Genomic DNA, 12,915 nt, shown 5'->3' on the forward strand with positions numbered 1-12,915 from the left:
CCCATTAATGCTCAGTAAATGGATCAAAGACCTAGAGAACTGGAATTGATTTAGTTAAAATCTCACTCTTTTTCTCTCATACTGCTATGCTGAAGTATTCTGCTTGCACAGGTATTGATACATAATAAAAAGGATTGTGGACTTACTCAAACTGACAGATTGAGACAGTCCCTGGGGCTGATTAATTGCAGGCCAAATTTCCTGAAGGGGAGGTCCCTCAGACAAGTTGTTTGTCTAAGTAACAGATCACTGTCAGGCTGTATTTTCAATCTTTTAAACGTTGTGCAGCTACTACAGCTACAACTTTGATGAACACTTGGGAAGCAGATGCTGAACCAAATGGTAAAATAGCCTAGGAAATCTCAAAATCCCCTGGGCAAGAACTACAGGAACCTTTGATGCTGCGGTGATGTTGGCATATCCACACAACTGCCCTCCTGATTCAGTACAAGATAGTCTCCAGGACTCCCCTGGAGTCCCCATCTTAGGGGTCCCTTAGAATCTAAAGGGCTGGAGTAATAACTCTAAAGTGATGGTTTAACCATTTCAAGTGTACCGTAGCACTTTTATTTCTAAACAATGTTCTTGATAGAATAAAATAAATAGATATTTTAAAGATAATTTTAGAAGCATCTGGAAAACAACAGTCTTGAAACAGTTCGTGGCTCATTTTGGTTAAGTTTTTCTTCTCTAGTTGTAAAAACACATGGAAAAAAAAGCAACTTAGGAATAGGGTAAAAAGTACAAAAGAAAGCACTTCAAGTTCTTTTTCTTATAGGTCCTGAGGGCTGATGATTAGAGGTAATAAGTTCCAAACACTGGAAAAAATAGAAAACACGTCTGTGGAATATTCAAGAGCAGAAATTCAGGATGAGTTGCAGAATGTTTGTGACATTTCTCTACCCAGAAAAAAGGCACATATTTAGATTTTTTCAGTTGTTGAAGGTGTAACATTCAGTCCTGGAAAGGCTATTTACCTTAAATGTATTAATGCTTTTCTGTCAGGGAGATCATTTCACACTTGGCACTATTGGATTTGCCTTTAAAGCTTACTGGTAATTTATGCTGCTAGTAAGACTAAGACTATTTATTTCTTAACACAACTACATTTAAGTTTATATATTTTGGAAAAGAGGTTAGCAGTCCAAAGGCCAATTACTGAGTTTGGTTCATTTAACAGATGCAAATGACCTAGGACACTGTAGTAACACAAATCACCAACTTTCATTCAGGGCTGGCTCCGGTTGTTTGCTCAATAAGAGATGTCTCCCATCATATGGCGCCTAGCCTGCAGGTACTACACCTGCCATGCCTTTAGGCCAGTCCAGAATTTCAGGGAAGATGATGACCTGCTTCTATATCACAAAGGAATATTAAAGCCTGTTCCTTTAACAAATATGAAAACTAGGATCCGGAGAGCCAAAATGGTGATCCCAAAGAAACATTTTAAGTTATTTTCAGTGCTGTAATTAGTAGCCTGACTTTAGCTTCCCACTACTCATCCAATAGAAAGAATGTGTCTTTCTCATTGCTAAAATCCACACCGTATTTCTACTTTTCTATCGAGATTTTAAATTGAGAGGAAAGGTCATAAACAGAGGAAATGCTACCCTGATATAGAGCTGGGATGAAAGAGGTATGTCACAGTGTATCTGCTTTCCATGGTTTGCAGGTGAAATGAAACAGAAACATCCACTGAACCAAATTTTATAAGAGAACATATTCTTTTCACTTTGTGCTCCAGATATTTGCTTCCTTTCTGCACTGTCATTTTGTCACCCTCACTGCTTCTCTTAGTTGGATTTGTTCAAGAAACACAGAGAGAATATATCTCACTTCAAGGACTGAGTAGCAAGGGACATTCCCTTGCTATGTTCTCTATGGAACCATGCAACTAGTCAACAAGAATTAGAGCAAAATGACCAGTAAAGTCACTACTAATAGGACATCCTATTCAACTTTCTTGCCAATTCGGGAATCCCTTTTACAGCATCTTGCACTGATGATCAACCACAGCACAATCATTCCCAGGGACCGGAGCTCATTACCTTTATGAGACATGTGCTTCATTTGCTTCATTAGTGAATAGCTAAAGATTTCCAGTTTTAAGATGGTTCTTAATACAGAAGCTAGGAGGAACACAGAAGGTGAATATTCTGTTTTTCCTTAACTATCTCTTAACCAAGGAGTGCCTCAATTCTACATTGTTCATTAAATGATCTGAATAGAACCTAAATCACCTTTGTGTTGTCTTTAGCACTTTTTTTTTTCAGTTTTCATTTTTTTTAGTGGAAATATTATTTGGATGCTAACATTATAGGTTTATTCTACAGTGTTTCTCTAAGATAAATTCACCTCATTTCATGGTGTTTTAACTCTCTGGTCTCATTAGAACTTTTTACTACCTAAACTCATTAGTTTTGAATATTTTCCCTCCTCCAATGAAACTATCTAAGGTTGTCCGTAGAATTTAATTTATAAAACCTTTCATCTTCTGACTATAAACTAATAATTACCTAAGCTGTAATTTTTTAAATACGTTTTTCTAATGTCCAAGTGTACATTTGCTTAGACCACTTTTGCTATTATGAAAGAGCACCGAAGTTCTGGTCACTTGCACATCAGATCATTTTTTCTAATTCAGTCCTCTTAATTCTGGAATTAAATGAATACTGGACAAAGTGACAGCTCACAAACATAGACTTTCCTCTTCTCATTTGCTTTTTTGGAGGTGCCTTTTTTTGTAATCCTAAGGATACACTACTTTTTAATGATTAATATCAGAATGGGATGCTGGAAGATAATATCCATAACCAGCAAGAGATTATAATATTATTAATTGACTTAGTTACTCTATTCTTGAATGAAAATTGTAGTGGTATAACTGAGCATGAAGACTATTTTAAAATGGTTCAATAAAGTTCATTTCATTTCACAGAAACATAAAGTCATGTATTTAATCAATTCCATTTAATTCCGTGTTGCACTCAGGGACCTGAAAGTGTCTGAAAAGTCCTGTGAAAAATGTATAATAAATGGATTTAAATTTCTAAAACATTTAAGTTATCTTTCAGCCTCTGCTGTTATGAGATAGCATTCTGCTCTAAAGTAAGGAATCATTAAATCAGAAGGCAATAAGGGAGGTTACTGGAAACTTCTTTTTGTGGAAAGATAGTCTTAAATCATCTGAAAGAGTTACTGTTGCTAGCTGTTGTTATACATTAGAAAGTTTTAGGGACATAAATATAATAGCACCTTGAGATGTTTCTTTTCTTTAGAAGTTCAAAAATCTGTTACAACCTGAGAAAGCCGTTATTGAAAAAAAGAAACTAATACAGAAAAAGGAAACAAATCTCCAAAAGAAGCTTCAGAAAAAGTACATCAGGTCATCTTAGGAATCACTTGGTCAGGTTAATTTTAGAAGCAGGTTATCAGCTGAAATTGACCCAGAATTCACATATAATAGATGCCGCTATGCCTGAACCATACTCAGTAACAGATATCAATATTTAAGCGTACAACAGCACATGTCGTAAGCAAAGGCAGTAAATAGTAGGCCAAAGACCTGGATTCATTTTCTGCTCAAGCATTCTCTAACACAGAGGTTCTCAAAAGGAGTTCCCAGTACCTGCAAATCAGCATTACCTGTATTGTTAGGCAAATTCACAGCCCTGCCCCAGATAACTGAATCAGAAACTCTGGTGGGGGCTAATGGAGAAAGGTCCAGAATTTTTTGTTTTAGCAAGCCCTCCAAGTGATTCTGATGCATGCTAAAGTTTGAGAATCAATTCTCTAGCACATAGTATAACAACTGTTCTTCAAATTCTGGTCAGGATCAATCAACAATTGCAGCAGTGCTCTGGAAATTATAAAGAATTGATCAATTTTAGTGATTATATTAATGTTAGTGCCTGTGTTAATCAATCTAGAGAAAAAGGAAATCCAATGCAAAAATGAGTTTACCTGATAATGAGTACTAAACTGAAAACATTCAATTTCTGCCTTTCCCATTCTCCTGTTTTATATTTAAGTCATCTTGCCCGACTTTGATCTGCAAGATTCTTCTCAAATGTGGGCAAGTTCTGATGGAAGCAAATCTTTTTTTAACTCAACAATAGTGAAAGTGGTTGTAAGCCAGCTGAGTCTGTTTCTTCTGTTCTGTTTCAGTGCACTGTGAGGTCAGTGAATGGAATCCTTGGAGTCCATGCACGAAGAAGGGAAAAACATGTGGCTTCAAAAGAGGGACTGAAACACGGGTCCGAGAAATAATACAGCATCCTTCAGCAAAGGGTAACCTGTGTCCCCCAACAAATGAGACAAGAAAGTGTACAGTGCAAAGGAAGAAGTGTCAGAAGGGAGAACGAGGTACAATCATAATAACAAAATGTGCTTGTTTGAATCCTCATAATCTGTTGCATTTTTCATTTTATTTCTTATGAAACACTTGGCATTATCTTTCATGCCTAATATCCTAAAATGTGTACCAAGCAAGAATATGCTGCTTGTAAATTACAGAATATAGATGTGGTAATTCCAAAATATGGAGCCTGATGTCAGAACTTTACTATAGAAGTGTGCTAATTGAATTATGATGAACTAGGCTGTATTGTAAGCATTCAGGGCATTATCTGTACTATAATCTGCTTTGCTAGTACTTAGAAAACTTTTGGGAAGTCTCATAATTACAAAGTCTAATGATATTTACAAGAACAAGACAAAGAAACACCGCCATCAAACATTCCTTTCCTCACTGCCTGCAAACCAAAGTAGTGAAATGTAGTGGTAAGCTTTTGTAGCTAAGTGTATATATATATATATACACACACACACACATATATATAAAATTAAAGACAGAATATCATTCTGTCATCCAGGCTGTATTGTAGTGGTGCCATCGCAGTTCACTGCAACCTCAAACTCCCAGGCTCAAGCAATCATCCCACCTCAGCCTCCCAAAATGCTGGGATTACAAGCGTGAGCCGCCATACCTGGCCAGTATAGTTAATACTGACTTTATTTTGAAATGACCAAGACCACATTTTATGAATATAGCAAAATCATTAACGACATTTGTCTCCAGATTTCTTTTCATATTGCATATTTCTTTTCATATTTCTTTTCATATCTGTCTCCAGATATCTTTTCATATTGATTTCTTTTCATATTCTGGTCTTTATAGACCAGATTACAGAACCTATTCCATCAATATTAACTATTAGAATTTGCTGTGAAATCAACAAGGAGAAATATAGCATTTAATAATATGATCCTTTAGGGTGAATAAACTTCCAGCCAGAAGACCCTCAGTTGCCGATCTTTAAAATATCATTTTTCTATCTTTCTCACTAATGTATTCAGCACCACTTCCTACAAATATGTTGTGTAGTTTTATGTAACTATTGGTAGTTATCTGGTGAGTCTATAAATGATCTTCTCAATTAATTCCAAAGGAGTTTGATTGCCTCTGTAGTTGACCTTTCTTATTTCTCCATAGTTGACCTTTATTAGGTTATTTCATTCATTTACTAGCTTATTTCATTCATTTATTCATTCAACATAGTTTTATTATATTCTTACTTTATGGCTATGCACTGTACTAGGGCCTAAGGATTCACAACTGAATGGGGTACTGTCTCTCTATTGTGAAGGTACACCAGAGTCCAGTGAAAGGTTGAGATGTTTAAACAGATAATCACAACATCGTAGAATAAGGGAGATTATAGATGTGTGAACTAGTTTAAAGGGAACACAGAAGAGGACACTGCAAACTTGAACATTGCTTATACAAAAGAGAATTTGGGTCACCTGTACTTTGCAAAGAAACATCCATTATGCCAAAAGAATTGGCCATCACTAAAAGCTATAAAACCTGTTTCTGCCATTCTAATCAAGTAGTTAATGTGAAAAAATTCTTGAAGACATGGGTTATTTAAAGAGAACTTCAAACTTTTGTAAATTTGTAGGAGGTTTTGATTAAAACTTAGTTTAAGGAATGAAAGCTGGCTAGTGAAAAAGGCCTTTTGGCATTTGTTACCAATTAATTTAAAACATCTTAGATTTTAAAAGTTGGATTTGGAAGTCAAATATTTCATCACTCTACTTGTTGGTATGCTCCTGTTGCCGTACATTTACTTATGTTTACTAAATTTCCTTAAAATTTAATGACTTACAGGTGGTCTTTGCTCATATCATTCTTTTCACAAAGATTGTACGTTATTAATCAGTATTCAGTACACATTCCTTTTAAAATATAAATGAAGAAAAGTTATCCAATAGCAGAATTAAATCACGATTCTAATTACATTTTATTTCTTTTACTTGAGAATGTGATCTTTCAATAGATTATATTTTGGTAGCACTTGACTTAAACATTGAAAATGTCAACTGTTAAAACTGGCATTTATCTCATCTAGAAAGAGATAAAATAAACAACATCACAAGAAGTTTGAAATAGTAACCTGTGACATAAGATTTAGCTTAAAAGTGTCTTTCTGATTTGTTTTCTTCCCCTCTGAGGATACAGTGACATTTTACATTTACAAAGAGAAGTTTATACAACTAGAAAATGTAGGTGTTTTATTTTTTCAAATTTCATAAAATGTAGACTAACAAGTGGCAAATATGAATCACATTTACAATTAATTTCCAGATTTAGTCCTACTTTTATTTTTTTTCATTTATTTTTCAAGGTGTTTGTCAAAAACTTTTCTTAAGTAGCCTATAAACTACAGGTAGGAAGAAAATCATTTCTCTCTTTGTTATTTCTCTAATCCTCCAGTTTTCTTAACTTCTCTTAAGGTTTAGTTAGCAAGTATCCTATTTGAACACAAACCAAATAGAAAAGTAATAGTGACCTCTGGACATCCCACCGTATCCTCTCTATCAAGCATCATATCAAAATAATAACATCCAGAGTCTTCATTTAGGCTCTACTGTATATTTATATAATATGTATAATATATAATAAAAATATCTTGAAAATTACTCATTGTCTTGAATTTATAACCTAAATGATAAGAACCCCACATACACATATAGAGAAGCATATCAACAGAGCAAATTTAGTAGAGGACTTTATCTTTATATTTTTCTATAAAAGTTGGCATTTCTTATTTTAAGTAGGGTAAGCATTAGAAACATTTAATCAACTTTAAAGATAAACACAATAAAGTGGTACAGACATGACTTCCCCTCACACTTAGGATAGCTATTATTTGAGTTGCTCCCAGATGTTTATGGATTAATAAAATAAGAAGATTCCTTTAGGTTCACAGCTTGAGCATTTCAAGATGAGTGTACTAAAAGATAAGGCTTTTCTTATGAATTTAAAGTTAGGTCTATGATCCCTGCCTAAGAGGTTAACAATAGACAGAGGTAGATAACTCATATTTGGAAAAGGTAGGGAGCATGTGTTCAGGATTTTTTCTGCTCTGTTGAAATTGCCAAAGGCAAGATCTCCAGGGAAGAATGATAAGATCCAGAAATGACTTTTCAAAATGTACACAAAGAAGAAGTTGAATAGAAGAAAATAGTTTGTAGGAACAGAGTGGATTCATCTAGTTGGGAGATGCTTTTTAATATGTATATGTTACAAAATCTTACACACACACATTTTTCTTTACTACCATTTTCTCATGGTTAGAATAAGTTAACCCAAGGAGATAAATTTAATTGTTGTATCCTTACATTTAAATTATCTCATGTATTTGTTTACAGTATTTCAGATTATTCCCCTTTACTTGACATGCTACCTTTTAATCAGCCTGAACTTCTCCATCAATTACTAACTTTAGTAAGAGGTCATTACCAATACAATTCTTTCTAGCTTGAACTTAATTGAATTATATATTTGAAATATCAAAAATATAGATTTTAAGAGATTATACAGACTAATATATAAACTATTATCACATGTGTATTGAAACATCATATTTAAGTAGAAGTAAACAAGGAGAAAATGCATTTCCAGTGGTTGCCAGGTTTTATTTATTGACTTTTTTGACATACAGTGTATAACCATCTCAGATAAGGAAAACTGAAACAGCTCAGGAAGATGTGTGTGCACCTGCATTTGATGCAAAAGGGTATATTTGTGTATGTGGTGGTGGAAGCAGAGTCAACAAACACATTTTTCATTCATTTGTACCTTCCTCTAATTAACTAAAGAGAATTTCCTATAGATGGTTTTTAAGGCAACTCACCAAGAATAAAAGAAATTTTGTTCTTTGGTTAGTTTTACAAAAAAGATTCTTATTAATCACAGATAGTGTATGATCTTGGGATAGAAAGGAGAGAGAAGAGCAGAGCATGTTGCTGGAAGAAGTGAGGTGGAGGTCTATCTTCCTGGTATAAAGACAAGCTAGCATTCATTCCACCAGAGAAATATAAAAGGAACCCTTTAAAATAGAAAGAAATAAAATGTTTAGGGACACTCCAGGGAAGAAACAAATGTGGGAATCATTGTATTACTGTACTATTTGAGTATACTGTAGGTTGCCTTATGTACTTTCTCAAAATTAAGTATAGTAAAAGTCTACCAGGCATTATATAAAGGCATTACATACATTCTCCTTTTTTTTTTTTTTTTTTTTTTGAGATGGGGTCTCACTCTGTCGCCCAGGCTGGAGTGCAGTGGCGCGATCTCGGCTCACTGCAACCTCTGCCTCCTGAGTTCAAGCGATTCTCCTGTCTCAGTCTCCTGAGTAGCTGGGATTACAGGCACACGCTGCCACACCTGGCTAATTTTTTGTATTTTAGTAGACACGGGGTTTCACTGTGTTGGCCAGGCTGGTCTCGAACTCCTGAGCTCAGGCAATCCAACTGCCTCAGCCTCCCGAAGTGCTGGGATTACAGGCATGAGCCACCATGCCTGGCTGAATGTATTCTCTCTTAAAGGCTAAGCCACGTTTTCAATTTAATGTCCTCAGTGGACAGGACTTCCAGTTGCTGAATCACTATTTAGCTTTCCCTCCACTAAAATTAATTATATGGCTATAATCATTTCTTTTTCATAATACTCTCCTATCTATTCAGTTGAACTGTTTGCAACCGCCTTTTTTGTAGGTCGTAAATGGTCAAATGTAAGCAGTTTCATATGGTTCAACCTGATACTTTAAAATTTCATCTCTCTAAACTGATCAAGTTTTAGAACCAGACCTACAGTATGTTTCTTATGGATTGACAGTTTACAATTTGTATATACTACAATCTGTTTTAAATATTAAGCTTTTAATAATAGTAAACTGTACAGCTGTCCTTGAAAGAATGTAGGCACTACCAATGCAGTGAAGAGGACCCTGAAAAGTGGGGCTTAGGCTGGGAGGGTTCTTGGCTTAGCCCAGAAAAGAATTCAAGGGTAAGCCAGTGGTGTTCAACAGCAACTTTTATTGAAGCAGCAGTGTACAGCAGCAGCAGAGGTACTGCTCCTTATGGAGCAGGGATACCCCATAGGCATTGTGCCCTGAGTACCATCTCAGAGGAAGTTCTGCAGTCACATTTATACCCACTTTTAATTAGATGCAAATTAAGGGGCACATTATGCAGAAATTTCTAGGAGAAGGGTGGTAACTTCTACGTCATTGGGTTGTTGCTATGGAAAGGGGTGGTAACTTCTGGGTGTTGCCATGGCAATGGCAAACTGACATGGCACATTGGTGGGTGTGTCTTTTAGAAAGGTGCTTCCACTCCATGCCTGTTTTAATTAGTCCTCAATTTGGTCTGGTGTCTGAACCCTGCCTCCAGAGTCAAGTCTCACTTTGTGAGTCAAGCCCTACCTCCTACCTCACTACTCATCTTTAAAGTCTCTCATAAAAACATGTTTGGTCTTCAGATGCTCTTTAATCATGGTCACATATGACTTATTCTCTGTTTTTATTTGATATTTTTTTCTCCTTAGCTATATTACTCAACCCTTATTCCTTTTTTTTTTCTTTCCCACCACCTCCAATTTAATCACTGAAACATCAAATCACCTTGTAAATTCAGTGGACAAGTATCAGAATTTATTATCCATGTAGGTGAAAACATTTAATGCCTCAGTGATAGGCCCCACCTCTTATTGTTTCCTCTGGCATTGACATTATAATAGCAGGATCTATGTGAGGATTCTTTGTTGCCTAGGTTTTTGGGTTGAAGACATGCACAATTGACTCCCCTGTGTCATAATGAAGCAGCAGAATTACAGCCAGCACCTTGATAGATATAGAAAAAAAAATGAAATGACAGTTTTTAAGTTTCTTGCCTCTAACACATTTTACATCCTATTGTATGTTCTTAAACTTCTCAATATTAAAGAAAAAGCTCTGCAGAAAATAAGACTTTATTTCATGCCTTGCATTCCTTGATATTATATCATTTTTTAGAACTCAGCCAGCAGTTACTACCTCTTACAATTCAGACCAAGTTTGCTCCATACCATTTTTGTAGGCTCTCTGAGATTTTGGGGATTTTATTAACGGTGGTCGAAAATCATGGTGGACATTATTCACAGTGGGAAATACTTAATTGTTATTATCATCCATGCAATCCCTTCATTCCTATGATAGTATAAGAATTATTTGTAGGCTTTTCTGCTAATTGGTGTGTACCTCAGCATTCCTATTCTAAAATAAACTTTGTAATAAATGACCCTTGAAAATGCCTATATTCTCTGAGATTTCACTTAGTGATATTTATAAATATTTAGTGCTTTGTGACCCATTGGTGAGTGTGACATAATACACAGTGATCAGGTTATTGAATAGAGTGGTAGCATTCTTCAGCTCCTAAGCAAACAATGATCTTGCCATTGTTTAGGTCTGGTGCACGAGGATTGTTTCAGTTAGCTTTTGCTGCATAACAAATAACCTCAAAACATAAAGGCTTAAAACAACAACCACTTACTTAACAATTTGTGGCTGGGCAATTAAGGCTGAGACCTACTGGGCAATTTTGATCTTGGCTGGGCTCTGTCACATTGTTGGATGGCTGGAGAATGAGGAAATTGCCATGTTTCTATTATCATCAAGATGGCAAGAGGTCCTACAGCCTTCCAAAGTAGAAAAGGTGAAGTCATTCCTCTTGAGGCTAGGCTCAGAACCTGGCATAGTTTTTACTTCCACCACATTCTGTCAGCCTATACTAGTCATAAGCCTAGTCCTGATTCAAGAGTTGAAGAAACAGATTTTATCTCTTGGCAGGAGAAGGTGCAAACTTACTTTGCAAGGTGGCATGCATATACAGGGTGGGAGAGGAGAATTATAGCCATTTTTGCATTCTACCCTAGAGGTCTTTCTCTTGTTTGTAGTTAGATTAGTGTGATTCCTCATTCACTTAACAATCTCTTATTGTCTGAAATACAGTAAGAGATTTGTATTTCCTTTGTAAATTTCCTTCCTTCCTTTGTAAAAACAGTCAACTATTGATACAGGAGATGTTGTGTTGGATATTATTTCTATTGTACTTTCTAATTTGTAAAGGGCAGAACAGGAAGAATAAATAAAATCTGAGGCCAAGATACCTTCATACGCTCAACAAATATTTATTAAACTTCCACCATGTGCTGGGCACTCTTAGGTGCTGAGGATAAAGCAGTACACCAAAAAGACAAAATTCTTTTCATCATAGATCTTATATTCCGAATGGTTTATATCAGTCCACAAGGTAATGACCATAGAGTATCAGCCCTTTTGTAAGCATACACCTTTGTTAACAGTTTTCACCTTTGTGATTTGTACCACCAGTAGCTGCTGTCTTCATTAGAGTTTCCTAACACATTACAAAGACATTTGTTAATGCTGGCAAAAATGAAACTTCTCTGCTTACATTTCATTTTGGTCTCAATGTGAATACATGTATTTTTTCTGTGACCACCATGTTGATGTGCTAATATGTTTTTGTAAGACGGCTAAGTAGGGTTAAAGGTACAGCTTGTGGTTGTGGAACAATGCTGAGTTAACCGGCCCTTTGGAGAAATGACCCCAAGACCTTGGCTTCCTTTACAGCCTGTTCTAGCCAACTGAGATCCCTGCCAATTAGGAGGGTTCCCTAGAGAGAGACTCCGAGAGCATCAGCATAAATTTAAATTCTGGACCCCCAAATGTAGTTTCCAAAAGAAGCTTCTTGTCCTTTGCTAATTGCAAAGTAAATATTTCTCCAGCAAAAAGACACTCCCTCCTTTCATGCTCCTGTTCTCCTTCCCATCTCCCTAATACAGTCACTCCTTAAAACTGCTAGTGTTGCCGAAACCTCTTTGACATAGGGGACACCCCACATTTGAAGGCACAAAGAATTATTCTTTCCATAGATAATTATCTTGCTTTTTATATCCTCCAGCAGCTTCTTCATAGAAGCATTACAGACTAACTTTGTAGATGTCATAGTCTGCAGAAAGGAGTTGATGCCTTATCCTTGGGCCTCTCAAGAGGTGTGAGTAAGTAGGCTATTATTAGCATGACAAAATGTATAGAAATGAAAATTCTTCAAAACCTCTTAATCCACTTTGTTCTCACTCTCTTCTACATGCCCTTCTCTTTCTATTTAATTTCCTACTCAGTTCCTTACCTTTCATTTAAAACATCCCATTTCTCAGGTCCCAAATTAGAAATACTTTCCTAAAATTTTTCTGTTTTTCAGTTTCTCTAAAAAATTATTTACGACATACTTATTACTTTAATAGCAAAATAATATATTAGCATGTTATCTCTCAATGATAGTCCTTTTTCACCAAGCTCACTGTTCTGCCCTCTGTATTCTGCAGGACATTGTAGTTGAAAATGACAGATCTCAAATTATCTTAGGCAAGAAGAAAATTATTGGCTTAAACGCAGACTGCACTAAGTCCTCAAACAATATCACTTTATCACAATATCACTGCATCGCCTTCTGCTCTCTCCCTTTCTCACCATTTCAGCTCACACTGCCTTCATTCCTCATTGT

General features: G+C 35.7%; 1 protein-coding gene and 1 long non-coding RNA gene across 9 annotated transcripts in view; one reads left to right on the forward strand and one right to left on the reverse strand.

The window, feature by feature from the left end:
* Window positions 1-12,915, reverse strand: part of LOC105377989 (uncharacterized) — a 347,578-nt gene that overhangs the window by 285,807 nt on the left and 48,856 nt on the right. The window lies entirely within an intron of this gene.
* Window positions 1-12,915, forward strand: part of RSPO3 (R-spondin 3) — an 80,811-nt gene that overhangs the window by 32,403 nt on the left and 35,493 nt on the right. For both annotated transcript variants that reach the window (NM_032784.5, XM_017011378.1), the window contains exon 4: window positions 4,168-4,365. In NM_032784.5, the coding sequence (NP_116173.2) occupies window positions 4,168-4,365 (198 nt within the window). The remainder of the gene's footprint in view (window positions 1-4,167; window positions 4,366-12,915) is intronic.

The sequence above is a fragment of the Homo sapiens genome, chromosome 6 (genome assembly GCF_000001405.40).
Source record: "Homo sapiens chromosome 6, GRCh38.p14 Primary Assembly".
NCBI lineage: Eukaryota > Metazoa > Chordata > Mammalia > Primates > Hominidae > Homo > Homo sapiens.